Source organism: Homo sapiens, chromosome 6, assembly GCF_000001405.40.
Source record: "Homo sapiens chromosome 6, GRCh38.p14 Primary Assembly".
NCBI lineage: Eukaryota > Metazoa > Chordata > Mammalia > Primates > Hominidae > Homo > Homo sapiens.
The window spans coordinates 5,118,210-5,145,890 of NC_000006.12; the positions used below are offsets into that span (position 1 = coordinate 5,118,210).

Below are 27,681 nucleotides of genomic sequence, written 5' to 3' on the forward strand. Positions count from 1 at the left end.
GTGTTCAAGTGATTCTCATGCCTCAGCTTCTCGAGTAGCTGGGACTGCAGGCATGCACCACCACACCTGGCTAATTTTTGTATTTTTAGTACAGATGGGCTTTCACCATGTTGGCCAGGCCGGTCGCAAACTCCTGACTTCAGGTGATCCGCCTGACTCGGCCTCCTAAAGTGCTAGGATTACAGGCATGAGCCACCATGCCTGGCCAATACATTTTTGATAGTAGAATTTCAGCATATGGTCTCAGATGGCACATGCTAAACTGCCTGCTCCTGCTCACCTGCACTGAGGAAGGTAAGCATGACATCTGTGGCCCTCCTCTGGCTTATGACAAGGCTGGACATCCTTTCACGCCGCCTGCAATTCATGCAGCAATTGTCCCTGGTGAGATCCCAGCATGGAGAGGCACTGCCACAGCCTTGCCACTGTCAAGTCACCAGCGATAAAAGCTTATTTGTCAAATAGACCATTTTTATCATGCTTTTTATATTTCCCAATTCAAAAAAAAAGCACACTGAAATAGGGACACATGAATTTATGTCTGTATTTTTTCAGTCTGTTCTGTATAGCAGCAAGAAGTATTGTGAAACCCAAACTTACGAATATCGACCCCATGGTATTCCTCTAAAAATAGCCCTCAGTCCACATAACCTTTTTTCTTTCTAGAATCCAGCAGGCTTGTTTTTCAAAATGTTTACATATAATAGCATAACACTGCTACTTTTAATTCTGCCACCATTTTATGCAACAGAGGAGTGCCTGAAGGGATCATCCGAACTGGAATACTGAAACTTCAATCTCCAATGAAGTGTGGTAGCTGAGAAAGAAGGCCATGTGAAAGAAGCCAGGGGTGCATCTTTTTGCTTCCCCTCTCCCAGTACACACTCCATCTCCATCCTTCCTGTAAGCCTTGAATGTTAGATATGGGATATTCTTAATGTGGAGGGAGGCAGTGGGGAGTCGGCCTCTTATTTCCTCTGTGTTGTTGCTGGCAGAGTGATGAGCAAGTTCATATCCCTGCCCACTATCCCGTGTCACAGTTAATAATTAATATGTTTCGTCTTTGCTTGTTGGGACAAGAGAGAAACAAGGTGCAAGAGCGTGCACTCTTCATCAGCATGCCCACACGTCCAGTCCACATCCACTGTCCCTGGGTGACTATAGATAGAGCGCTTGTTCATTCTCAGGTGTCTGCCTCAATCATGAACACGCAGTTGTCCTCACTCTTATCCACTTTTGTCAGCATGCTGCACCGGCTTGTTGTCTTTCTGAATGTCTCATGTTCACTTAAAAAAGGCTGGGTGTGGTGTCTCACACCTGTGATCCCACCACTTTGGGAGGCTGAGGCGGGCGGATCACTTGTGGCCAGGAGTTCAACACCCGCCTGACCAATGTGACAAGACCCCGTCGCTACTAAAAATACAAAAAAATTTAGCTGGACGTGGTGGCCCATGCCTGTAATCCCAGCTACTGGGAAGCTGAGGCAGGAGAAATGCTTGAACCTGGGAGGCAGAGGTTGCAGTGAGCCGAGATTGCACAATTGCACTATAGCCTGGGTGGCAGAATGAGACTCTGTCTCCATAACAAAAAAAAAAAAAAAAAAAAAAAAAACAACCACAAAAAAGGCCCACCATGTGATGGTCTCTTTCTGTGGCATCTGTGACATTCCGCATCATCATAGGAAAGGGAATGAAACTATTTTATTTTTTGAGAAAGAGTCTCGCTCTGTCATCCAAGCTGGAGTGCATGATCTCGGCTCACTGCAACCTCTGCCTCCTGGGTTCAAGCGATTCTTCTGCCTCAGCCTCCCGAGTAGCTGGGACTACAGGTGCATGCCACCACGTCTGGCTAATTTTTTTGTATTTTTAGTAGAGATGGGGTTTTGCCATATTGGCCAGGCTGGTCATCATCTCCTGACCTCGGGATCCATCCACCTCGGCCTCCCAAAGTGCTAGGATTATAGGCATGAGGCACGGTGCCTGGCCGGGAATGAAATTATTTGAATGGATCTCAAAGAGCCCAAAGTCGTGGGCAGCTAGCAGTGGTTCTCATCTCACAAGCTTTCTGTTCCCTCTGCAGGAATGAGTCCTTTTTGAATGGGCACACATGTTAAGGCAGAGGTTCCTATTGAGGTCTGTGCACGGGAGCCACAGGGTCTGCTTTGTAGTGTGCCCGGAGTTTGTTCCTTCTGGTGGGTTCGTGGTCTCTCTGACTTCAGGAATGAAGCCACAGACCTTTACCGTGAGTGTTACAACTCTTAAAGGTGGTGTGGACCCAAAAAGTGAGCAGCAGCAAGATTTATTGTGGAGAGCGAAGGAACAAAGTCTCCACAGCGTGGAAGGGGACGCCAGTGGGTTGCTGCTGCTGGCTGGGGGTGGCCAGCTTTTATTCCCTTATTTGTCTCTGCCCATGTCCTGCTGATTGGTCCAGTTTACAGAGTGCTGATTGGTCCATTTTACAGGGTGCTGATTGGTCCATTTTACAGGGTGCTGATTGGTCCATTTTGCGAACCTCTAGCTAGCCTCAGAGCGCTGATTGGTGCATTTTTACAGAGCACTGATTGGTGCATTTTACAAACCTCTAGCTAGCTACAGAGTGCCGATTGGTGCGTTTTTACAGAGCACTGATTGGTGCATTTTACAATCCTCTTGTAAGACAGAAAAGTTCTCCAAGTCCCCACTCGACCCAGGAAGTCCAGCTGGCTTCGCCTCTCAGTAGGACCTAGGTGGCCCAGCCCTACCTGTGGAATTTCTCATCAGGGAGGTAGTTGGGGGGTGGGGGCACGCATGTCATTGCTTCCTTGCTTCTGACTAGCGTCCCTGAATGAGAAGCAGTGCTCATCTAAGGGGATTCAGGCTTAGCACTTATTTTTTGAGTATTACCTGGTTTTCCTTCCCTCCACCCCTGCCCTGCAATGGAGTGCATACTTTTCCAAAAAACAAGCAAAAAACCAGAGTATCTATTTTCCTACCAGGTGTACTTTGGGTACATAGGGCCATGGACTACAAAACCAGGGGACAGAAGTATCTTTGCACCCTACAGTGTTCCTATAGGATGCTATCGCCTGCTACACTGCTAGCTGAAGGCAGGGAATATCTTCCTGTCTTCTATATGTACACCTGTACTTTAGAGGAGCTGGGTTTTATGCGTGATTTCTATCTGCTGGTCTAGACCACTGCTCAGGGTGGGGAAGACAGTTATAAAACAGGAGACGGCTACCTCCCCGACCCCTGATGGTCAGTGCAGAGAAGGCCACATGGGAAGAGTGGATACAAACAGTGCCAGCCACTAGCCAGGAGTCCCCTGGAGCTGGCATTGCAGCATTGCACAACAGAGGATCCCCGAGACAAAAGCATCCAAACAGCACACCACGTTACATGTCAGCACTGCCGCAACTGTCACCAGGCCCTTCTGGGAACTGGGCAGAACTCAGGGCCCAAACATCACGTCAGAGGAAAACCTGGCATTTCCCTGGGATGGCGACAACAGAGCCCAGGCAAACTGCCAGAGGTAATGTCCCATCAGAGGTCACACTCCTGCATTTGGGGAGAGACCAAAGCTCAGCTGCATGTCTGTCCCTGAACTCTGCTTCATGCCACCAAAACCACAGCGGCAAGGCCAGAATCCTGGCCCCTCTACAATTAGCTACAAGGTGATGCAAATGCTGAGGCTGATCCTTCCTGGGATGTGTGCTGGGGAATGAGCAAGTTCTTGATGGTGTGTTCACCACCTGCTCTGGGGGATACATATCTTTGACAAACTTTCTGGGGCAATCAGGCTGCCTGTTGTTATTTTACTCCTCCAGGGACACCTTTTTTCAAAGTCGACTTGAACCAGTTCTGGTTTTAATATTTGCTTTAATCAAATATAACTGAGCAGGCAAGCTCAGCAGAAACCTGCGGGAAAAAGGCACATCCCGAGTCTGCTCACCCATCCCCAGAAGACTTGTTTGCAGAGACTTAAAGATGGACGGCCTCCCTGGTTTTGCCTGTCACCTTCATCCGGTGATGACTGCCAGCACCCTGCTTGGTTGGACGGTACAGAGAATAATCACCCACACTAATCTGATTCTAGAAGTTCCTGACTTTGTGGGCTTCCAGATGGCGGGTAGCATTGAGATGTCACCACTCTGAGAGTTTCACAATTTCCAGAGCAACGAACACAGCAGAACCAGAGTCAAGGGTCCTGCACCAGAAATGCAACACTCAGAACTGGAAAGGGCTTCCAGAGTAGGAACCAGAAGTCATACTTGTTTTTTTCTTTAAATTTAGGCTTGTAAAATGTGCTGATTGCTGGCCTCTTTAAATAAGTGGTCCAGGGGAGTCTGATGCTTTTTGGCATCAAATCGTCAGGAATGAACAACATCCCTTGATGAGATGCAATGAGTGCCCCTTCCCCGTTGGGCTCCCTCCTCTCGCCGACCCAGTGCTTTCCAGAAGTTTCTCTTGGACAGTCCCACATCCACCTGTTCCTGGCTGCATGCCATGGCTGGTGGCAGCTGTCCTACCTCTGCGCTCGTGGGCCAACATCTGGCTCATGCAAGAAATGGTGGTGAATACCAACAGAGACAAACGAGGCAGACATCCCCGTCTGCACGGTTTCCCAGTACATGCTCTCCTTCACGCTCAGCATCCCAGGCATCCTTCCACGTTGGCACGCACAGACCCAACTGTCTCCTCCCAATGGCTGCAGTATGTTCCTCTGCTCACCTCCCTCAGGGAGCTGCTACGCGACATCCACGGACTTGTAAACACGTGGCCAGCAACACCCTCTCAATTTCCCAGGGCTTGGGAGCCTTCCAGGAATGATGTCACAGGCTAACGATATTGGGGTCATCGGTATACCAACATACCCAACTACCTGGGCTCCTTTGTCTCCCCCCACCCAGAAGTCAGGCTGAAGGGAGCCCCAAAATGGTGAGAGGGAAAAACATCGCCTTGAGCCACAGGGCCTGACAGGGCCTCAGCTGGGGCAGTGGGCCCGGTGCTCTGAGAATACTTGACCCTCGCTCAGCACACACGTCCTCATCCCAACCCCAGCCTCGGGAAGGCAGCAGCTCTGTTCCCAGAAGCCCTCAGGAAGAGCTGGTCATGGAGAGTGGAGGTGAGAGAGAACAGAGGGTGGGACATGGGCAGTCAGCAGTGGTGGGACAGGGGGCGGTGAGCAGGGAACAAGCAGTGCCCTGGTTAACGTGACTCACCCCCGAAGACACTGCTCCTAAGCTCTTCTGTAGGACCCCCACATCGCAGGATCTAGGAGACATCTGAGTATACGTATAAGCACTTCTGGGGGAAGGGGACCCTTGGCCGGGGTATAGGACAAAACTGACGTTCAGGCAGCATGCCCTGGCCTTGTGGTCAGAAGTTGAACAACTTCCAGCTGTTCCCACGGCCCCTACTTAATAAACTGCCCTCCTCCCTTTTCCCTCTCCTGGGGTGCCCTGGCTCCCATCTGGCCTGGTAGGCCACTGACATGCTGCTCTAGCGCGACCAGATTCCATTCTGAGGGGCCCATGCCGATGGCCCACGGCAGTTCAGTATTTTGAGTGTCACCTGTAGGGCGAGGACCTCGGAGTAAGAGTTTGGGCTGTCCCTGAAAAGGAAGCCATGGTCTGTGGTGACAGGCCACCATCGAGCCACTCACAGTGTAGTTTTTCTCTAGCATTCTGCAGGGGAGATGCACGCACAGCTGCACAGAACAGCTGTGTGCTGCAAGAGGTGAAGATGACGTGGATGGGAGCCTCAGATGACACTGGGGTCTGGGAGGTGGGGAGCTGGGCCTCCTGTTTTCTGGTGCCAGTCCAACTGTGGTGGCTCTTTGGTAGTCCTCTGCTCTCCCAGGGCCGTGGAGAGGGCGGGCACACGCTCTCTCTTAGCAAGCTCACCTCCCAGGTCCCTGGGGCTGTCTTAGGGCCTGGGGAATTGGCTGGTGGCTCCACAGCCCTAGTGTGGTCCCTGAGGCCCAGTTTACTGAACATACCTTCCAGTTAAACACCTAGAGGGAAAAGAACCCACTTGTAGGGCTCCACATACCGGCCCAGAAGCCTTGGCCTCCACACCAGAACATGTCCACTTTTCTCCTGCTGCTGCCCCCGCTGCTCTGTCTCAGGTGAAATTCCCACCTCAGCCTCCCAAAGTGCTGGGATTATAGGTGTGAACCACTGAGTCCAGCCTTACTTCCTAGTTTTTAGAAAATTTAGAGAAAAGGTTTCTTTCCTAGCAGACACAGGGCTGAGTTCTTATGTCCTTTGCTTCTTTGTTCTTTCTCCTCTTTTCCATTTCCGCCTTTTGCCTATGCCTCCGACTGGCCTAAAGTGTGACTTCAGAAATATTCATCCCTCATGGGTGGATCTCCAAGCGACAATCACCTCTATTCAGGGAGATGGGATTCGACTTCAATCACCATGATGGCAAGCAGGTAGCCATTTAACAAAGGATCAACAGTGGGCGGCAGACTTCATCCTGACAGGGGCGGGCCCTCCAACCAGCAAGTGTCCCTGACCCACCTCCCTGCCCGGCTCCCTTGGCCAGCAGGGCTCAGACTGCAGTGGGTGCCGGCTTTACCGGAGGGCTCTCTGCCTCCCCAGAGATTATGAGTTAGCAGATCTGGGATAAGGCCGCAGACCATGCTCTGGAAAACTGCTCCAGGTATTCACAACTGTGCCCTGTCACCATCCAGCACCAGCCACACTGGGTTGTGAGTATACTTTGTGTGGTTTCGGTGTTTGTCTCTGACATGAGACTGTGAGCCCCCTGAAGTTGGGATGAGCCCATTTCATGTCCCCAGCACCTAGCAGTGCAGGGCTTCCCTCGTCTCCTAGTGAAACTATCCCTAAGAGGCTGGGAAGCCAGTCATCTTCATACAAGAACTGTGAGCATCTTCCTGGCCTTGCTGACGTGGCTGCTGCAGCCACGGTAAGGAGAAGGGGCCTGTGCCCCACCTTGCTGCACCTGCATGGCTGCTGAAGTCATCCCTCTAGAGACACATGCTCATCACATCAACCCATGGCCCAGAAACCTCCAGTGGTTTCTAGGATGGCTCACTCCTACGGAATCCTCATTCCCTGGCTGGGTGCCAGGCCCTCCCCCAGCTCTCCTCCCTCTTCCAATCAACTAGTCCTGGCCTATCACATGCTTTGGTTGCCTCGACATGGAACCTTTGGTCTAGGCAGCCGGGATGGAGCCCATGACCCAGGCTGTGAGCAAACACCCCCATTCACCTGTCAGTTCCTCGAGCACAGTGACCCTGGCCTGTTCCCAGTGCCTCGCGTGGTGCCTCAGCCACTCTGCTGGACGAAGGAATGAATTCCAAGAGAAGGAGTCACCTGTGTAAGGTCTCAGGGCAAGCCCTGGCAGAAGAGGAACAAGAATCCCAGAGTGGTCACCACACATGGAGTTGCCACAAGCCTGCAGCTGAGCCTGGCAGAGGGAGGCACCCCTCCCAGGAGCATTCTTCATGCTGTTTAGGGACAAGACGTTCTAATGTACTCATATGAACTAGGAAACTGAGATATCTGAGGGACTCAGCTCTTTTTAGGCAAAGCAAACCTTGAAGGCTTTGATGATAAGCTCAGTGAGAAAAGCTCTGGGTTTGCACTCTGACCTCTGAATCCCACAAACTCAGCCTGCAGTAAGTGGCTTTCCTTTGGACCCATTTCTGATGTGCGTTTTGGTTCAAACAAGGCGGCTGATCCACTTTTCTCAGCATCAAGACAAAGGGACACTGACTCTGGGTCTAACCCTGAGGACACTGCCCATTGGTGGGACAAGACCTTCCTTCTGGGCAGTTTGCGAAGACATCGCCTTTCACCATGCACATGGTTTATTTCTGAATTAGAGTAATACGTTCCTGTCACTTACCTTTGGGACCCTATTATAGAAAGCTGCAGAGTTTACCACAAAGTTAAGCCCTTTAGATATGAAGATTATTTCCTTTACTTTTTGATAGAAGTATCCTAAGCTCTTCTGATGCAGAACAATGACTCTTCCAGAGCTGTGCAAACACAAGGCTTCCTCTCCCTTGGAAGACAGTGATGAAAAACCTTCACATCCTTGGCCCTTTGCTAGTGACCTGGCCAGAGCCAGGCCACCAGCACCAACTGAGTATAATGCTCAGGGGAATGGAAACAAACCCTTCAAGACCCTGGGGAGATCGGCAGTGTAGTTGCTAGAAATGCTCAGGTATTTGAAGAATGCAGACAGCAGGCAGATAACAGCCCAGAGAAATGCATGAAAAAGCAACTGAAGTACAGTGCAAGAATGATTCTGTACAGCAACTACACCCAAGGGAATGAAAACATACGCCTCAGAAACGTGCACAAAGATGGTCACAGCAACACAATTCACAACCGCCAAGAAGTGAAAACAGCCCAAATACATATTAACTGATGAACAAATAAATAAAATGTGGTATGTTCATACAATGGAATATTATTTAGCCTCAAAAAGGAGTGAAGTTCAGATACATGCTACAAGGATGAACCTTGAAAATATTATGCTAAGTGATAGAAGCCAAACACAAAAGGCCACATATTGTATGATTCCATTTATATGAAATATCCAGAACAGGCCAATACATAGAGACAGAGGGCAGGTTAGTGGCTGGGGATGGGTGGGCAAGTGGGAGGGAGTGTGGAGTGAGTGCGAATGAGTACGGGGTTTCTTTCTGGTGTGCTGAAAATGTTTTAAATTTGATTGTAGTGATGCTGGCACAACTCTGAATATACTAAAAGCCAGTGAATAATATACTTTATTTATTTATTTGAGACAGTCTCACTGTCACCCAGGCTGGAGTGCAGTGGCACGATCTTGGCTCACTGCAACCTCCGCCTTCCGGGTTCAAGCAATTCTCCTGTCTCAACATCCCAAGTAGCTGGGTCCACAGGCACCCGCCACCACACCTGGCTAATTTTTGTATTTTTAGTAGAGATGGGATTTCACCATGTTGGCCAGGCTGGTCTCAAACTTCTGACCTTAAGTGATCTGCCCACGTTGGCCTCCCAAAGTGCTGGAATTACAGGCATGTGCCACCGTGCCTGGCCTCTTTTTGTACTTTTTGTTGAGACAGGGTTTCATCATGTTACCCAGGATGGTCTTGAACTCCTGGGCTCAAGTGATCCACCTGCCTCGGCCTCCCAATGCGCTGCGATTACAGGCATAAGCCACCGTGCCCGGCTGAATAATATACCTTAAATGGGTAAATTTTAAGGTATGTGAATCTCAATAAAGATGTTAAAAAATACAGGTTAAAAAGTCACTAAATATTTCGCAATTACAGCCCCAATACTGTCTAGACTTGTGCTACTCCATTGGACATGTGGCTGTTTAGCACTTGAAATATGGCTGGTCCAAACAGAGATGTTCTATAAAGTATAAAATACAGACTGGGTTTCAAAGACTTAGTAAGAAAAAAAGGAAAATATGTTAATTTTTTTGTATTGCTTAAATGACAATCTTTTAAATATACTGGGTTAAAGAAATTGTTATTAGAATTAATTTTGCCTGTTCTTTTTTGCTTTTTAAAATGTGGCAACTAGACAATTACACATATAGCTTGCATTTATAGCTTACGTGATTTTTCTAATAGACAATGTGATCTGTATCATCCTTTTTTCATTTTTATTTATTTTTAGTGGGTTTTTTAAAACCTGTGATAAAAACAACATTGTTACATTACAATTTACCATTTTTAACCCTTGCTTTTAATTTTGAAATAAATATACATTCACAGGAAGTTGCAAAAAATAGTAGAGAGAGGGTCCCTGTACCCTTCACCCTATTTCCTCCAATGGAGACATCCTGCCGAATTATAGGATAGTATGAAACCCAGAAATTGACATTTACACCATCCTTTACAATTTTTTTGGTGGTAGACAAATCAGCACCTGGACGAGGAAGAGTCTGGGCAGGCAATGGGAGAGGGTGTCTTACAGTTGTTGATTTCTCTATAAAGCAAACTTGGTTCTGCTTGGATTAATAAAAATTAAGTGAAAATCCCAATTTAGGTTTCTTACTGTCTGCAGAGAAATATTTTATAGAAGCTGCCATAGTGAAGAGGACTGCAGTGATGACATTTATATCCTGGAAGCAGGGCACCCATCACCGCTCACACACCCTGCTCCCAGCTGTACACAGGGGTGATATGGAGTTGCAAAATAAGAATGCCCTGTGGCCTCGTAGATACAAATTGCGTCCCTAGCTCACCCCTCACTCAGGAGTAAATGGAACTACTGGGCTTCATAGTGGTGGAGTACATCTCTTTGAAGAAAGTCAAAGTGACAAGGCTGCCTGGCTGACAGATGGCAGATAAAAAGGAGCCACCTTTAACTTCTTCCTCTTCAGGGAAGGAAATCATATCTGGAGATTTCAGTGCCCCTTGAGAGGAAGTGACAGTCACAAATACGTGCATTTGGAGAAGATGCTTCCCTCCTCTTTTCCCTCCTCATAACTATTTTGTGAACATGTCTCTTGAACCCTCTTACTGTTCTTTTGGTTTCCTCTTTGTCCACACTTCGATGTTCCCACAGGACTCTGGATATGAACTACTACATGGGGTATGACCAAGCTCATCAATCTTGCTTTTATTTACATTTTTTTGTGTGAGGCCCCATGTCACCTGCATGACTAGGTGATGCCGCCAGCACCTGGAGGGAGCAGATGCTACCAGCAGAGAAGGGCCTGGGGCTTCTCTTGGGCAGCCAGTGCTTGGGCCTATGCCCTTCAAAGGCTTGACTTTGCCTCTCCAGAGCTTCTGATGTGCTCCTTACATATGCGCTTGCTCAAAAAACTGCTCAATCCCCCAAAGGACTTCTCTCCACGTGTGCACTGTCCCTGAGGGCTTAGAGGCTGCGAGCGGCCACAACCCTGCCTGCACCCCAGCTATGCTTCCAGGCCATCAGTGGCCACTGCACTTGATGGTGTGATCTTCGGACTGCGTCTACCTGCTCCCGCACTCAGCTGGGAATATGGGAAATAGTGGCATTGGGCTCGCGGGCTGCCCTGAGACAACCCAGGTTTCTCCAAAGGATTACCCTGTGTGTTAGCTTCCTAATGCTGCAGTCAAAAATTACCCCCAAACAGGTGGCTTTGAACAACACAAGTTTATTCTCTTACAGTTATGGAGGCCAGAAGTCAAAAATCAGTTTCACTGGGTGAAAGTCAAGGTGTTGTCAGGGCTGGCTTCTTCCCGAGGCTCTGGGGAAAATCTGTTTCCTTGTCTTTTCCAGCTTGTATGGCCTCCTGCGTTGCTTAGCCTGGGGTGCCTGCTTCATCCTCGAAGCAGCCGCTCTGATCTCTGCTTCTGCCACTTTCTCTCTCTGTGCAATCAAACCTCCCTCTGCCTTCCTCTTAGAAGAATAGTTGTGATTACAGTAGGGCCAATGTGGATAACCAAGGCTGATCTCCATCTTAAGGTCCTCATTTGATCATACCTGTGAAGTCCCTTTTGCCATCAAATGTAACATTCACAGGTCTCGGGGATTAGGATGTGGACGCCTTTGGGGGCCATTATTCAGCCTACCAGATCTTCCTTTATGGCTTTGTTGAAAACAATTATTTTTAAAAATGTAATGTATCTTACTGTGGAAAATGTGAAAATGTAGGACCTAGGACCATCCTTACTCCACCAGCCACACTGAAGGGAGGGAGAAGCGAGAGCGCAAAGCAGCCCAACAGGCCAAGTCAGAGAGATTCGTGCTGAGGTGAAGCAGGGGTATGGACGGGTGGGAAGGCAGCTGTGCTGCAGAAGTCTTCATTCAAAGTTGGTAAGTACTTGGAATATGCTTTTCTTACAGATTATGTTCTAAATATGGATTAGATTCCCAGCTCTGGCTACAAAAACTAATTAAATCTGAAATCTTTTTCATTAAGAGGTACTAGAGAGAGGAATTCTGGAACTGTGGAGCCCTGAATAGACTATGCTTCCCCTGTTCCCACCCCAGCGCTGGGGGAGACACTGGTGTGAGTGAGGTCTTGGGCCTGGGCGTGGGCTGCAGGGGGAGTTCATGAGAGCTTTCCTCCTGGTGGACCATGCAGGGCCTGGAGGCCAACGCTGGGATTCTGGGATTAGTGGGCCTGGAGGAGACGTGTGAGCCCTGGGAATCTGGCTGTCACTGCCTCCCAAGTGAGCTTTATCTGCCAAGCAGGGGCTAGAGAGCAAGGCTGTTGCTCCCTGTTCGTCAGGCTGGCATTGCACAGGGGACCTGGGAACAGGGAGACTGGCAGCTGCCGCCACTGCTGCCCCACTGGTCCTCCGGAGCAGGGAGCCACTCACGTTTACCACCTGCAGAACTGTAGGCACATGGGGTGCTGTAACAAGCAGACCTGGGCCCCAGTGAGACGACAAAGAAATATTGCCTAAGGGAATCCAGGAGCCAGACAGAAAAACCTGAAACAAATGGCTGCTTCTAAAACTGCTGAGGAGAGGAAGACAACAAGTGGTACACAGCAAGAGCACTCAGAGACTCGGGAAAAACAACTAGTCAGCAATAAACTTCTTTATGAAATTTATGTCTAGGGAAACAGGTCTTGGTGGGAAAAACTGGTATCCTCTTATACATAATAGTAAAAAATATATGCTTCTAATTATAAACATTGGGCTACAGAAGACAGTCATTAAGGGCACAGAAAAGTAGAATGGAATTTCCAAACTGACAAAAGAGAGATAAACAGGGAATGAATAGTCACTTGATAAAAACCATTAAAAATAAGGAAAAGAGAGAACCAACTAAAATACATAATAACATAAGACAGAATAAAATCAACTCCATCAGCCATAATATGAAATGTGAATGGACTAACTGGGAAAGGTAACAAAACAAGATGAAAACCCTTTAAACAAAAGTGGTAAAGGAAGACTGAAAATCAAGGGATGAGTTAAGATATACCGGGTATATATGCGGGGGAAAATTCTAGTTTATATTAATATTTGACAAGGCAGAATTGAGTCTAAAACCTTCAAACTAAATAATGAGCAACATTTACAGACAGGATGCGGCAGTCATAAAGCTGTAAGCACTAAATAAGACTGTAGCGAAGTATATAAAACCTGAATTATTAGAAATAAAAGGAGAAACTGACAAAGGCAAAATGATGGTGGGGAGCTTTGATATTCCTCTTAAAAAGGTAATCACAGAGAATTTGAATAATACAATGGACAAACTAAATACACACACATGTATCTCAGAGAATACATGAAAAAAATTTGTGTCTGGCTGGGTGCAATGGCTCACGCCTGTAATCCCAGCAGTTTGGGAGGTAAAGGCAGGAGGATCACTTGAGGCCAGGAGTTTGAGACCAACTTGGCCAACATAGCAACACCTCATCTCTTAAAAGAGAAAAAAGAAAATTGTGCCTGCAAAAAAGCTCCCTCCAAAGACAACAAAGAAAACATTGTCTGTAAGCCATTCACAAAAATTCATCAAGGACTAGGCCAAAAGAAAGTCTGAAAAGGCTCAAACCAGTAGATATTTTAATCTCTTCTATGGTAATTGGTCTATTCAAGCTTTCTATTCCTCAGGTTAATTTATTTTTTATTAGATTTTCAAATTAGCTGCCACAGAGCTGTCCATAGCTTTTTGCTGTACCGTATCCTCACTGTGCAATCATTAAGAACGACATTATAGAAGAATATTTAAAGACTTGGAAAATATGTTTTGTGAAAAGAAGCAGCAGGATACAACTCACGATTGAGAGGCAATCATTATATGCCTTGGCTTCATTATTTTATCCCTGACTTACGCCTTTATCTTTAAGCAGTCGTGGATCCCCAGTTGACAGATCAAGACATATCAGCAGATCCTAACTTTTAACTTGGTTTAACCCGAAGCAAGTTTTCATGATCGTACCCAATTCCTTGTTGCTTTCAGGACAGGCCCACAGAAAAGAAAAAGGGCATTTTTGCATCTCATCTCTTAACCTCCCTGCCTCTCAGGGATTAAGTTTGAGGATCACTTGCTTAATACATAAGCAATACATATTTAGGAAAGTGACATTTACTGGGCATGTGCTAAGCTTACATGCTTTACTTAGTTTCTCACCGTTTTTACCCTTGTCCTATGCAATACATAATATTCATATTTCCTTAGGAATGAGTATATGGAACCAGAGAAACTGAGTAACCTGTGTACATCTGCACAATTGGTAAATGAATTATGGAGCTGAGATACTCCTTTCTAGGTCTTCTGACTTCAAAATCTAGCACTTAAAAAAAACAAAAACAAAAACAGAAACTACAACACACCTCCTCTGAAAGAATGTCTTCTATTCTTTCTAATTAACATTTTAAACGAAAATCCCATGCTTTCAAAGAGAAGAGTACCCAGCCTGTGCTACAAAAGGCTGAGAGTGAAAGTGGGAGGTTTGATTTCCAAGTTTAATTTGTAGTTCTGCTCCAGGAGCACATCTCAGCTACAGTTGTTTTCAGAAATGTGAGTTCAGGATATTAACGAGTAATGCTGAGCAAAGAAAATCACAAGCCAACCACCTCTTGGATCACATAAGTGGAACTTACCTTTGTGAAGCACCATGGGGAGCCGTAAACCCCTTGCCCAGTTTCTTTTGAGTTTACTCAGATTTAGCCAGAAAAGGAAGCTGGCTGAAGCAAAAGAGAACTAGAACTCCCATCTCCGTTTAACCTATTTGCAACTCTGCCAAGGCTGCAGAGCCAGCAGCAGCTGTGGCCTATCAGTGCTCATGAGAAGTGAGTCTTGCAAGGAAATGACATTTCCTTCCCAGGGTAGGGAAGCACGCACTGCTGAGATTCTACGGGTATGACGGCAGCACCAGCCACTGCAGGACAAAGATGACTAGAGAAGGTTCGCCCGCCTCCCCAAGGAATCAGGACTGGTTACTTTGTCTCTTTTTGTTACTGTTGTTGTGTTGGGCAGGGTGTGTGTGCTGGGCAGCCTGAGGGCCACTTGTCCCCGTGCTGCCATCTCACGGGTGAGGCTATGGGTGGCACTGTTTTACACATCTATATGGTAGCTAGAAACAGAGGGCTCTTTCCTCTCACATAAAAGCAAAATCAAGATGATCGATCGTTTTCTTCTTAGGTTTTCCTAAATTTTATTTTCTAAAAAAGGAGAGAACATTTTTTGTGACTGTAGGCAGCAGATTCCTGACAGCGTCTGCTGTCTGACAGGAGTGCAAAAGACATAGTTATCCTTTAGAATACAGAAGCAAACTTGCACGGGCTTAAATCTAGCACGCCACCACCACCTGTGAGGAAGGCTCCAAAGACACGATCCTGACCCGTCCAGCCTCTGTCAATGATTCCAAACCTTGCGTGTACACTGGCATCCCTTGGAGGGCTTTAGAATATTCTGATGCTCGGGTCACACTTAAGAGATTATTAATTACTTGGTCTGGGGTGTTTTTATACATCAGAATTATAAAAAATTGTGGTAAAGTTCACATAACATAAAATCATTTAAACCACTTCAAAGTGCGTAATTCAGTGGTATTAAGTACCTTCATAACTGTACAATCATCAACACTATTTAGTTCTGGAAATTTTCATCACCCCCAAAAGGAAACCCCATACTCATTAAGCAGCCCCTCCCTGTTTTCTTATTTTCCCAGCCTCTGGCAACCACTAATCTATGTTCTGTTTCTATGGGTTTCCGTAGACATGCAGATGAAATCATATAATATGTGGCTTTTGTGTCAGGCTTCTTTCATTTACCGCAGTGTTTTCAAGGTTCATCCAGGTTGTAAACACGCATGAGTACTTTGTGACTTCTAAGGATGAATAATATTCCATTGCGTGGAAATACCACATATTGTTGACCCTTTCCTCAGCTGAAGGATATTTGGGTTGTTTCCATCTTTTGGCTATTGAAAATAGTGCTGCTGTGAACATACGAATACAAGACTGTGTCTGAACCTGTTTCCATTCTTTTGGAGTGAAATTGCTGGGTCATATGGTAATTCTATGTTTAACTTATTGAGGAAGTGACAAGCTGCTTTCCACACATGTCAGGATTTTACAAGCTTCCCAGGTGAGTGTAATGTCTGGCCAAGGCTAAGAACCTAGTTGGTTAAGATAGAGCTTTCAGTTTTTATGTAAGATAAGCAAGAAAACCAAGATAAAATCAGCAAAATCCAGACAAAAGAACTGACTTCTTCAGCAAATAAATTATAAGGAAAAAGAAGAGCAAGGAAGAAAAAAAGATACAGATGGGGCCTATAGATTTCTTTTAAAGACAGATTACAGACAGATCACCCAGTTTGAAGATTGGTGATATTTGTGAGACATTAAAATTTAAACACTTTGTATTTGATGATATTAAGGAATTAGCATTATTTTGTTAGTTATGATAACGGTATCATAGCTATGTTTTAAAAAGAATCATCTTTTCAGATATGTACCAAAATAGTTTAATATGAAAACGAATACACAGTTTCTCAAAACAATACGGGAGAGCATGGGTAGGCGTAAGGATGAAAAATACCATCTATTGATATTACAGAGTATCTAACTCTTAAAGATGGGTGATGGATACACAGGACTCATTTGACAATTCTACATACTTTTGTATATTTTCACATTTTTCCATAATAACAGGTTAAACAGCAAAAAGTCTTCGTCATTGCAACTAACAAATTGGGGAAAATGTCATCAAATGTCTATTTAAGAGATCTCATCCCTATTCCTTCTCCTTCCTCTCCCTTGGTAACGGCACTCCTAGGGCTGTGGAGGGTGCGGTTCACTCCTGGGACTGTGGAGGGTGCGGATCACTCCCGGGACTGTGGAGGGTGCGGATCGCTCCCGGGGCTGTGGAGGGTGCGGATCGCTCCCGGGGCTGTGGAGGGTGCGGATCGCTCCCGGGGCTGTGGAGGGTGCGGATCGCTCCCGGGACTGTGGAGGGTGCGGTTCACTCCCGGGACTGTGGAGGGTGCGGATCGCTCCCGGGACTGTGGAGGGTGCGGATCGCTCCCGGGGCTGTGGAGGGTGCGGTTCTCTCCCGGGGCTGTGGAGGGTGCGGTTCACTCCCGGGGCTGTGGAGGGTGCGGTTCACTCCCGGGGCTGTGGAGGGTGCGGTTCACTCCCGGGACTGTGGAGGGTGCGGATCGCTCCTGGGGCTGTGGAGGGTGCGGTTCACTCCCGGGACTGTGGAGGGTGCGGATCGCTCCCGGGACTGTGGAGGGTGCGGATCGCTCCCGGGGCTGTGGAGGGTGCGGTTCTCTCCCGGGGCTGTGGAGGGTGCGGTTCACTCCCGGGGCTGTGGAGGGTGCGGTTCACTCCCGGGACTGTGGAGGGTGCGGATCGCTCCTGGGGCTGTGGAGGGTGCGGTTCACTCCCGGGACTGTGGAGGGTGCGGATCGCTCCTGGGGCTGTGGAGGGTGCGGATCGCTCCAGGTGTGATTTTCATGGGAATGGAACTGGCTCCCTAGGTGGTGTTCATTTCCTCTGGATGCCTCAGGCCTGTCTCCTCCAAAGACGAGAACTTTCTTTTAAGTTTTCCTGCTAAATATACTCAAAAAAGCTTTCTAGCTCTAGACTTTCAAACACACACAATACTGATGTGTATGTGTGTGTGTTAAATACACAAAACACAACATTTATCATTTTATTCATTTTAAGTGTACAGCTCTGTGGCATTAAGTACATTCACATTGTTGTACAACCATCAACAGCATCCTTCTCCAGAATCTTTTCATTTTCCTCCACTGAAACCCTGTAGCCATTAAACACTAACTCTCCATTCTCCCTCCCCTCCAGTCCTTGGCAACCGCAATTCTACTTTCCGTCTGTAGGGGGACTCTAGGGACCGCCGTAAGTGGAATCATACAGCATTTGTTTCTTCTATGGCTTATTTCACTTAGGACAATGTCGTCAAGGTTCACCCTTGCTGTGGCGTGTGGCGGAATTTCCTTCCTCTTTAGGGCTGAGTAACATTCCATTGTACGGCTGTACCACATTTTGTTCATCCAGGCGTCTGTTGAGGGACACTGGGTTGCTGTTGTGAATAATACTGCTCTGAACACTGGTGGGCAAGTATCCTTTTGAGTCCCTGCTTTCAGTTCTCTGGGGTATATACTGAGAAATGGAATCACTAGATCATTTGGTCATTCTATTCAATACTTTTAAAACCAAATCAGTATTCTTCTAAATGATAACTTGTCCCCTTTCCTGCTGCCTTTTTGACTGGGGCTGGGTTGAGGGTGGAGAAGCGGGAAGACACGATAATGTAGTACTTAAGAGCCTGGGGTTTGTCCCAAGACAAACCTGGTTTAAACACCTGCTCTGCCAATCACTGGCTCCGAAACCTTGGGTTTCACCTAACCCTGTAGTCTCAGTTTCCTTACCTACAGAATGGGATAATGTCAATTTTACATAAGTTAGATGGTATTTATAATGTCTTACTACAATGCCTGGCACACAGCTTTCAATTAATGGCTTCTAGTAATCGATTACTTCCATTTCAACAATCCCAGGTGTTGTCAAAGAAGGTGGCATTTACAAATGAGTCCCACAGGTCCTAGCCACAGTCTGTGGTAATGACATGCTAAACCGCCCCAAGGAGCAGCGCCTGTAGGAAGACTGGGTAGACTTCCTTCCTTTCCTGTGGCAGAGGGCTCCGCACAGAAGAAACTCTGGTCTCTTCCTGATGTCTCTTAACAGCTTTATGGAGATATAATTCATACACCATCAAATCTATCCAATTAAAGTGTACAATTCAATGGTTTTTAGTATATTCACAGTTGTGCATCCATTACCACAATCAATTTTAGAGCATTTTCATTACCCCCAAGGAAACACTACTCATTAGTCGCCTTTCAAATGTCCCATCCTCTCTAGCCCCTGGCAACCGCTAACCCACTTTCTGTCTCGATGCATTTGCCTATTTTGGCCATTTCACAGAAACGAAATCACACAATGCGTGACTTTTTGTGTCTGGCTTCTTTCCCGTAGCATAATGTTCTCAAGGGCCATCCGTGTTCTAGCATGTATCAGTACTTGGTTCCGTTTTACCACCAATAATATTTTTATTGTATGGCTATACCACATGTTGCTCATCCATTTATTATCTGATGGCCATCTGGGTTGTTTCCACTTTTTGGCTATTGCTAATAAGGTTTCAATAAATATTTGCATATAAGTCTTTGTGTGGACACGTTTTCATTTCTCTTGAGTATACATGTAGGGGTGGGATTGCTGGATCACACTACCTCTTCTTTTTAAGCCCCAACATAGAATGGTTGCTTCTAGGACCTGTCAAGAGATTCTCAGACAAGCAAAAACCAAGCTCCTGGAGTTGGCCCCACTCCTCCACTTAGTGAGAAGCTTACAAAGGTGTTCAGATTTGTACTCTGTAATCTCACTGCATTGATACTGAACATCTTCTTTGAGCTCAGTTCCTCCTCACAGAGGAACTCTAGTGTCCTTTAAATAATGACTCTGCTACCCGGCTAGTGATATGCCTCTATCTGTATTTAAGATCATTTCCCCTGAATGATGGAGATTTTAATATTCTGCATCTAATGTCCTGTGACTCTATCTGAATAATTAAAACCACCCAGTTGATTGTTGCCCTATTCTCAAAGACAGGATTCCTGCTCTTTTGTAGACATCTCCACTCAGGTCACACACTGGAGTAAGAGTTGACAGGCTTTGTCCTTGCAAGCTGCCTGTGGCCCACCACCCAAATTATCCTCATGTGAATGTATTTTTGAGGGAGGATATGGAGCATTCATCCTGCCATTTTTGCAAACCACAATAGCCAAGTCTTCTCACCCCTTTCCACTGTGTTACTCAGAGGCCTGAGGTGGTGCAGAGTTCACTTTGCCTTTGGTCAAAACGTACTGGGGAAGGTGGTGGCTCCACAAGTTGCAAAGAAAAATACAATGGTGCTGTCTTTCAGCAGGTCAAAAAGGATTCTATAAAGACTAATGGTAGACAAGGGGCACTGAGGAGGATTCATGAAAGTAAATTTCATGATGACAAAAGAAGACATTTCTGCCAAGATTTTATATATAGAAGATATTCAAAGGCCAGGTGTGGTAGTGCACACCTGTAATCCCAGCACTTTGGGAGGCCAAGATGGGCAGACTGCTTGAGCCTAGGAGTTTGAGACCAGCCTGGGCAACATGACAAAACCCTGTCTCTACAAACAATACAGAAACTAACTGGGCATGGTGGCACACGCCTGTAGTCCCAACTACTCGGGAGGCTGAGGTGGGAGGATCACCTGAGGCTGGGGAGGTTGAGGCTGCGGAGAGCCGTAATCATGCCAACTGTACTTCAGCCTGGGCCAACAGAGTGAGACCCTGTCTCCAAAAAAAAAAAAAAAAAAAAAAAAAAAAAAATCGATAGTTTTTCTTACTTAAAGAATTTTTATCAGTAGCCAGTAAGAATAATGACTGTTTTTTTTATGAATGATTTCCAGACTAAGTCACAAGAAAACCTTATATACTATGACATCTGTATATTAAGGAATTCTAACATGCTCCCCACTGAAAACACAAGAAAATATCAAGATGCAATAGAAAACAAACCTGGTGGCAGACAATGACTATGGACTTTATGCCTGGGGGTAAAAAGAGAAAAAAATAAAAGTTAAGAGTAACAGTTAACAGAAAGAAAGAGTTCTTTGGGATTTCAAACAGAAGCAAGTGCTAGAGGTGTTTAAGACAGGTTAAAAGCTAGAAATGAGATTAATCCTTTAGACATAGACATTTTGCTCTTCACAATCAGGTTAATACTTTGAAGTCTTAAAGAAAGTCTTTCGAGCAATCAGAGGACTTCAAAGTGATTGTTGCACATAAGCCTAAGAGAATTTGATCTCAAAAGAAGAGTAATATTGATGTTCGTTGAGTACCTACTATGTTCTAGGCACTTATGCTAGGTACTTTGTAGATGTAATTGAATGTCGTCCTTGTTAACACTCTCTGGAAATAGGTTTTGACATCTCTGCGGTAGGGAGAAGAAGACAGGCCTGGAGAGCATAAGTAGCTTGTTCTGAATGACAATAGCTGGTGAGCGGCAGGGCAAAGCAGGCCTGCCAGCCCAGTGCCTCTGATCTTCCCAGGCACCGCTGCATTTCCACCTCGCTAACTGGAGAAATACCAGCAACTCTGGAAACATGGTGAGCATATCATATCCAGAACTCTGACCAACGAAGGCGCAGGCTTCATTCAAAGTTAGGCAACAGAATATTAAGGTTCATTCATGACACAGGTCACACTGTATTTACAAATACAAACTGGAGTAGGACAATGAGGAGTATCAGATAAAAGTTAATGTTTGGCTCGATTTAAAACAGTAGCACTTGACTGGTTTTCGACACTTTTGCTATGATTGTGTTTAATATTAACAAGATATTGTTAAATTAAGTTTGGCCTAAAGCTGCCTCTTTACATATTTTAAAGGTTTCTGTGTATGCAGTGAACTGTAACCTAACTGGATGTGTACACAGACTATAATCTACTCTTGTGCTGATCACTGAGCTTTGGCTATAGGCAGCCAATTGTTCAAACTGTGCTCAAATAAGGCAAACAACTGAACTGTCGCCAATCTGGCTGTTTTAGCACCTCATTTCCATTTTCCGTACATCACTTTCCTTTTTTTGCCTATAATTTTTCTTCCAGGCTGGGGCGTGGTGGGTCATGCCTGTGACCCCAGCACTTTTTTCTTTTTTTTTTTTGAGACAGGGTCTTGCTCTGTTGCCCAGGCTGGGGGGCAGTGGTGTGATCACGGCTCACTGCAGCTTTGGCCTCCCAGGCTGAAGCGATCCTCCCACGTAAGCCTCCCAAGCAGCTGGGACAAGCACACCACCAATTCCCAGGCTGAGGCAGGTGGATCACTCGTGCCCAGGAGTTCGAGACCAGCCTGGAAAACATGGTGAGACCCTGTCCTCCCCAAAATACAAAAATTAGTGGGGCATGGTGCTGTGCCTGTCCCAGCTACTTGGGAGGCTTAGGTGGGAAGATCACTTAAGCCTGGGAGTCCCAGGCTGCAGTGAGCCGTGATCGCACCACTGCCTCCCAGCCTGGGCAACAGAGCGAGACCCTGTCTCAAAAGAAAAAAAAACCTTTCACCACGTGACTGTGCTGGAACCTCTGTGAGCCTATTCTGGTTCACAGGCTGCCTGATTTGCAAAGTGTTATTTGCTCAGTTAAACTTGGTTAAATTTACTTTGTCTAAGGTTTGTCTTTTAACAATACTTAAAAAAAAATAAAGCTTAACTAAAATTTGAAAAGATTGAAAAAATCTGTTTGGAGGAAGGAACATTTAAACCTGTATAATGAGTATTTCCAAAGTACATAAGGCTGTGGCGTTGAAGGACACCAACACAAAGGTTTAGACAAACTATGATGTGCTCTCTGTACTTTACAAGTAGAAAGTACTTAAGTGCATTACAGGTATGCACAGTGTGTGGCTGAGGATCCCGTTTCTGGAACCTGGAGTTGGGCTCGGGAAAGTCAATTTGTGCTTCAACTTGATCTGCACTTGGGAACATGTAAGGCTTATCATTTCCTAGATTCTTAACCATTCAACAAAAGCATGTTAAAAATGTAACATACATGCTGAAAAATGGTTAAGAAGGTAAACTTTATGTTACGTATATTTTGCCACTATGAAAAATAAAAGAGGTAACACGAACTGAAACCAAAACGTAGACTTTCCTTTTTCCTAGACTGTGAGCAGTACTGCCTTCCTTATGCCACTTCCACCTCCTAAATAACCAACCAAATGGATTTAAAAGCCTTCCAACTTGTTGTTCAGGTGTCCAGTTCTACAAGTATTCAAGCATTGTTTCTCTCTGTAGAAATCAGACCAAGAGCCTCTGTGTGTGATCATGACTACCACTACCTTATGGTTATAATTATTCTGGATGTTCAGCTTTTTAATCTAGTTTTCATGTTTGAAAAACTATACTTTCACAAAAGTTGAGCATTTATCACATTTGTGGAAATAAAAAGAAGATGGCACTGTTGAGGGTACTGGCCCTTCATAGGAATAATGCAGATGGGAGAGATGGGGGTGGTATGTCTCAGGGTCCTCATGCTCACATATTTTCTATTAAGAGGATGAGGTCACAACAGTAAAGTACACTGCCTTAGGTCACAGGACTGTAGCCTGATTTATCAATAACTCGCCCTCTGTCCTTGGCAATCACTCGGCTTCTCTGCGCATCAGTTTTCTCTCTGTAAAGTGGAGAGTAGGCTGATTTCTCAGGTCCCTGCTGCAAAAGCCACTCAAGCTTCTATCATTCCACAGAAAGGAAGAGCCTCTTCAATAGCCTGGGCAGGAACTTGTAAATACAGGATTTCTTCTGCCAACGCACATGTCCACCGTAGCGGAACAGTACTGGTGTGGATGAAGGAACCTCATTATATCAAAACGCATACTAACATCAAACATGACAGCTGGAAAAAGTTTAACTGATAATTTAGTAGACCCTTCATTTTACAGAGCAGGAAAGTAAAATCCCAAAAAGCCAAAGAGCATGACCAGCATCTCAACACTCACGGAGGTCAGAGCTGGAAGGGATTCTAGAGCTTTTGAGGGAGGCTTTTCCAAACTTTTACCCCCCCACCAAACTGAACCGTGACCCTCACTACCACTGAGGAATAGGCATGAGGGTATAAAAAAGGTTAAGAGAAAACGTTAAAGTTTCCAATGACTGGGTTTGGAGCTCAGCCTTTTTGTTTCCCAGAAGAAGAAACTGAGATCCAGAGAGGTTAAGACCAGGTCAAACTACAAACCAGAAGCAGAGCTGACCCACAAACGCACCTATTTACCCAGCACAAACCCATGCCATGATCGCTGAGGGTCTGTGACAGGCTGCCCTGTTTCTGTGCATGTGTCGGGGGGGATGCGGGTACAGGTGATAAGGAAACCGGTGTGGCAGATGGTGTTTTCCAATGATTGTATTACAATGAATGGACCCTCCTCTACTGAGTGAAGGGGTTTGTGTTCTCTCTATGTGAACCTGGACAGGTTCTATAACCTTGACAGTGGAGGTGACGCTGTACAACTCCTGAGGCTATGCCGTAGAGAAAATATGGCTTCTGTGTGGCTCTCTCTGCTGGGACTCTTGCCTTTGGAACCCAGCCGCCATGTTGTGAGGAAGCCCAGGTTACAGTGAGGCCATATGTGCTATGTTCTGGCTGACACCCTGGCCAGACTCCTGGCTCACAACTAGCATCAACCTCCAGACAGCTAAGTAAAAGATGATTCCTGCCCCCAGCTTTCCAATCTTCCAGCTGAGGTTCAATCACTGTGGAGCAACACAAGCCCCCCTCGCCATGCCCTGTCTGAATTCTTGACCTATAGAAGTGGGATGTGGCAATAAATGAAGATTGTTCTTTGAAGCCACTAAGTTTTGGGGGATGACTTACTGTGCAGCAATAACTGATATACAAGGTCCTTAAATCACCAGCCATTGCTAGATTTCTTGATTTTCATTTCTACCATTCAACCATTCCCCACCCCCTTCTACTGTTTACAGGTAAAGGCCATGCACCTTTTCATTTTTTCCCCTTAAAACCTGAAACATGATTTTTTCCCTAATGACTTAGCCCTTGCATTAGGAGATGGTGTAAACTGACAACGCTTTGGGACTCACAGCCATGCCCAGATTTGAAGAGCCCAGGATGCTTTCCCTACGCTGCCTCGTAACTTCAGTTTCTGGAATGCCTTTCCCTAAGGAGAGCGCAGCCATCCCCAGCCATGGACCCTTGGCCTGCTGGCCTCATGCAGATGTCTCCCAGGAGGCCGCATCGCGGGCCGGTCCCCTGTGTTTTCAGTTTTCATCAGCACTCCTATATCCTTGCCCTACTCTGACTCCCCACGTGGCTGCATTCCGGATATGCTCTGTCCAGCCTCTCCGGAAGTTGGGATGCCACATGTATTGGTTCAGAGCTGGTGGGAGATCAGTGATGCCACTTCCTGTTCACAATGCCTCAGGGGTGATCCCGATAAGTGACATCTGTTAGCGCTCTAGGGCCTGTGGCCACATTGAGGAGGCCAAGCCTGCACCACAAGCGGATCTTCTGTGTGAGTCAGCACACCACTGTCATTCAGGGTACGGTGGCCAATCTTACACAGGGGATCAAATATGCCTTCTGGCTCCAGTGACTTATGGCAACCTCTGGGGCACAGTTTCGCCACTGGGGATGGTCTTCAGGCCCATAACTGTGTGAGTCTGTGCTTATACATGGGCAAGTTTTACTGGCAATGTGAATAATTCCTATTTCCTTAGCGTAATATATTGGTGACTGTGATACAGACATCGGGAGGTTGACAGACACAATAACAGGACCTATTATAAAGACAAACCGAGTATTGTGTCCTTGGCCTTGAGATGTGGCTGGCATAGGCCTAAGCTCAGAGGGCCTGATAGTGCACAGAACTGGTTAAAAAAAAGCCAGGAGGAAGAAATCGGCTTTGTCATCTCTCTCCATCTTGTTTTCTCTGTCCTGCCAGAATTTTAAGGAGTGCTAAGGGTCTCTTCTGCAAGCCTCAAAAACACAAGGCAATACAGCTCTGATGGAGGCAAATTTTACAGCAGAAGAACCTGAGTGCCAAAGGCTGCGGGAACAAAAAATACCAGAGCAAGAATTAACAGCATGAGAAAGCATGCGGCCAGCAGATGGCGACAGAGGCCTTTGTGAGCCACTGGCTGCCGGGTTCTCAAGTGCTGGAAGGTGGCTCTTCACAGCTATTGTATAAGTGATTTATGTATTTGGATTCTGCTCAATGTTATATATGCATTACTGAATAAAACATTCACAGTATATCTTCCACCAGCAGCTGAGCTCCAATTCTAAGCTTCTGAGGTCTAATTCCCAAGGCTCAAAGAAGCCCCTGACATCAAATTGCTTTCCTCCCTGAATAGCTGCTTCATACTCCAGAAAAAGAAATGCTTAGAGAGGTGAGAGCGATCTGATCTGATGTGACCACATAGTCAGAATGCTCACCAGCTCTGTGAGGAAGAGCAAACGTCTGTCAGGTGGTTTCCTCAAGGCCAACTTGTGCAGGGCTTCCCCAGGCTCCGGCTGCTGTTCCCCGACTTCCTCCTGGCGGCTGTGCCTTGCTCAGCTACCTGCACTGAGATACAGGCAAGTCTTGGGTGAGGGCTAGCCTCAGTTTGGACAAGAAAAAGAAGTGGCTTACGTGTAAGAAATATGTCAGGTGAGGCCGGGTGCGGTGGCTGAAGCCTGTAATTCCAGCACTTTGGGAGGCTGAGGCGGGCAGATCACAAGCTCAGGAGATCGAGACCATCCTGGCTAACATGGTGAATCCCCGTCTCTACTAAAAACACAAAAAATTAGCCGGGCATGGCGGTGGGCGCCCGCAGTCCCAGCTACTTGGGAGGCTGAGGCAGGAGAATGGCGTGAACCTGGGAGGTGAGCCGAGATCACGCCACTGCACTCCAGCCTGGGCGACACAGCGAGACTCCGTCTCAAAAAAAAAAAAAAAAAAAAAAAAAAAAAAAGAAATACGTCAGGTGAATTTTCCAAACCGGGTATTTAATCAGTTAGCTACCCATGGCCCCAGGAGCTGGGAAATCACTTTGTTCCTGCCTGGGAGCAGGAGCTGCATGTGTCTGGGAGCTGCAGTGCGGCGCTCACTCCCGGGCTGCCCGGCCTTCCCTGCAAACCTCCGTAATCCCTTCCCGCAGGTGTTTCTGCGAGGCCACGCTGGGTGACCTCTGAGGTCTCCTTTAGGTCTGTGCTGAGACGCTTTGACGCGACATGGGAAGCAGGCGCAGGCCACAGAGTTTCTAGCAATGAGCCCAAAGTGAGAGTCAGTGTGATGGGGTGGCTCCCGGAGAAGGACACACTCTTCCCTGGGAACATATTTGAGAGGTAAAAGGGCAGGCCCCATCTCCAGGCCTGGCGCTGGAAGAGAATTCCACAGAAAGCAGAGAACAACGGGCACATCCCTGTGGAAAACACCAACCTGGCATTTCACACACACAATCCATGTGTTGGCATTCCGTCTTTAGTCACTGACAGGTCATATGAGTTGGAATCTGAGGCAAGCTTCTCCTGCCCCTTTCTCCCATTTGCTCCCCACACCTGGTTTCTCATTTAGAACAAAGGAGAGAAAGTGCAGTTTCGGTGAGTGGAGGAGCCGGCAGCATCTCCAGGCATTTCCATGTGGGGGGCACGCGCCTGTGTAAGTGCCTTATCGCCCTCACGCTGCAAACAGTGCTGCGAAGTCGGCACCAGTATTGTTCTCATTTTGCAGGAGAGGAAACTGAGGTTCATAAAGATTAATAAAACATGTGCTTAATTTCCCTTGGTGACTCCGGAGTCAACGCTCTTCATCACTATGACGGCGAGGGCGAGGCTGCGGAATTTCTCTGCCACACCTAAGGCCCTCTACCCACCAAGTAATAAAAAAGCTTCATCAGAAGGGAAAGCAATAGGACCCCAGCCTTATGAGGAAAAAACATCACAGCAGAGAAGGCTGCCAGGGAGGAGAAAAGAAAAATCATTTCCTATTTTCGATCCTCATGCCTATTAATATGAAATGGTAGAAAACATCAGAAAGGTCACCAATATGTCTTTAATATACGCCCACTTCACGTGGTCTTATTTACACCCACGGCTTCACCACCAATGCTCTAGTAATATTGACTGCTAGAGGTGGGCTCCTAACTCAAGCCCGCAAACCAGCATATTCAGCCTTTAAATCCCCTCTAGAGTTCCTGCATTCCATTCC

General features: G+C 46.6%; 1 protein-coding gene and 1 long non-coding RNA gene across 10 annotated transcripts in view, besides 2 other annotated features; one reads left to right on the forward strand and one right to left on the reverse strand.

Moving 5' to 3' along the window:
- LYRM4-AS1 (LYRM4 antisense RNA 1) overlaps positions 1-27,681 on the forward strand; it is a 236,681-nt gene that overhangs the window by 114,394 nt on the left and 94,606 nt on the right. The window lies entirely within an intron of this gene.
- LYRM4 (LYR motif containing 4) overlaps positions 1-27,681 on the reverse strand; it is a 229,198-nt gene that overhangs the window by 86,457 nt on the left and 115,060 nt on the right. Inside the window, exons 3-4 of one of the 9 annotated variants that reach the window (NM_001318782.1) lie at positions 20,499-20,530; positions 17,965-18,657 (exon numbers count right to left, since the gene is read on the reverse strand). The exons of 7 other annotated variants lie outside the window; for them this stretch is intronic. In NM_001318782.1, coding sequence (NP_001305711.1) covers positions 20,525-20,530 — 6 coding nt within the window. In that variant the 3' untranslated portion in view covers positions 17,965-18,657; positions 20,499-20,524. Of the gene's footprint in view, positions 1-17,964; positions 18,658-20,498; positions 20,531-25,928; positions 26,054-27,681 lie in introns of those variants that run through there. One more of the 9 variants, NM_001164841.3, reaches the window with a different exon arrangement.
- Positions 11,627-12,213: an enhancer, noted in NCBI's record as "H3K4me1 hESC enhancer chr6:5130070-5130656 (GRCh37/hg19 assembly coordinates)". NCBI's record gives its function as "activates a minimal SCP1, AML or CMV promoter by ChIP-STARR-seq in primed H9 embryonic stem cells {active_cell/tissue: H9 hESC(primed)}" and the evidence as "EXISTENCE:reporter gene assay evidence [ECO:0000049][PMID:30033119]".
- Positions 21,346-21,640: a silencer, noted in NCBI's record as "tiled region #2533; K562 Repressive non-DNase unmatched - State 24:Quies". NCBI's record gives its function as "represses a minimal TATA promoter and a strong SV40 promoter by Sharpr-MPRA in K562 cells {active_cell/tissue: K562}" and the evidence as "EXISTENCE:reporter gene assay evidence [ECO:0000049][PMID:27701403]".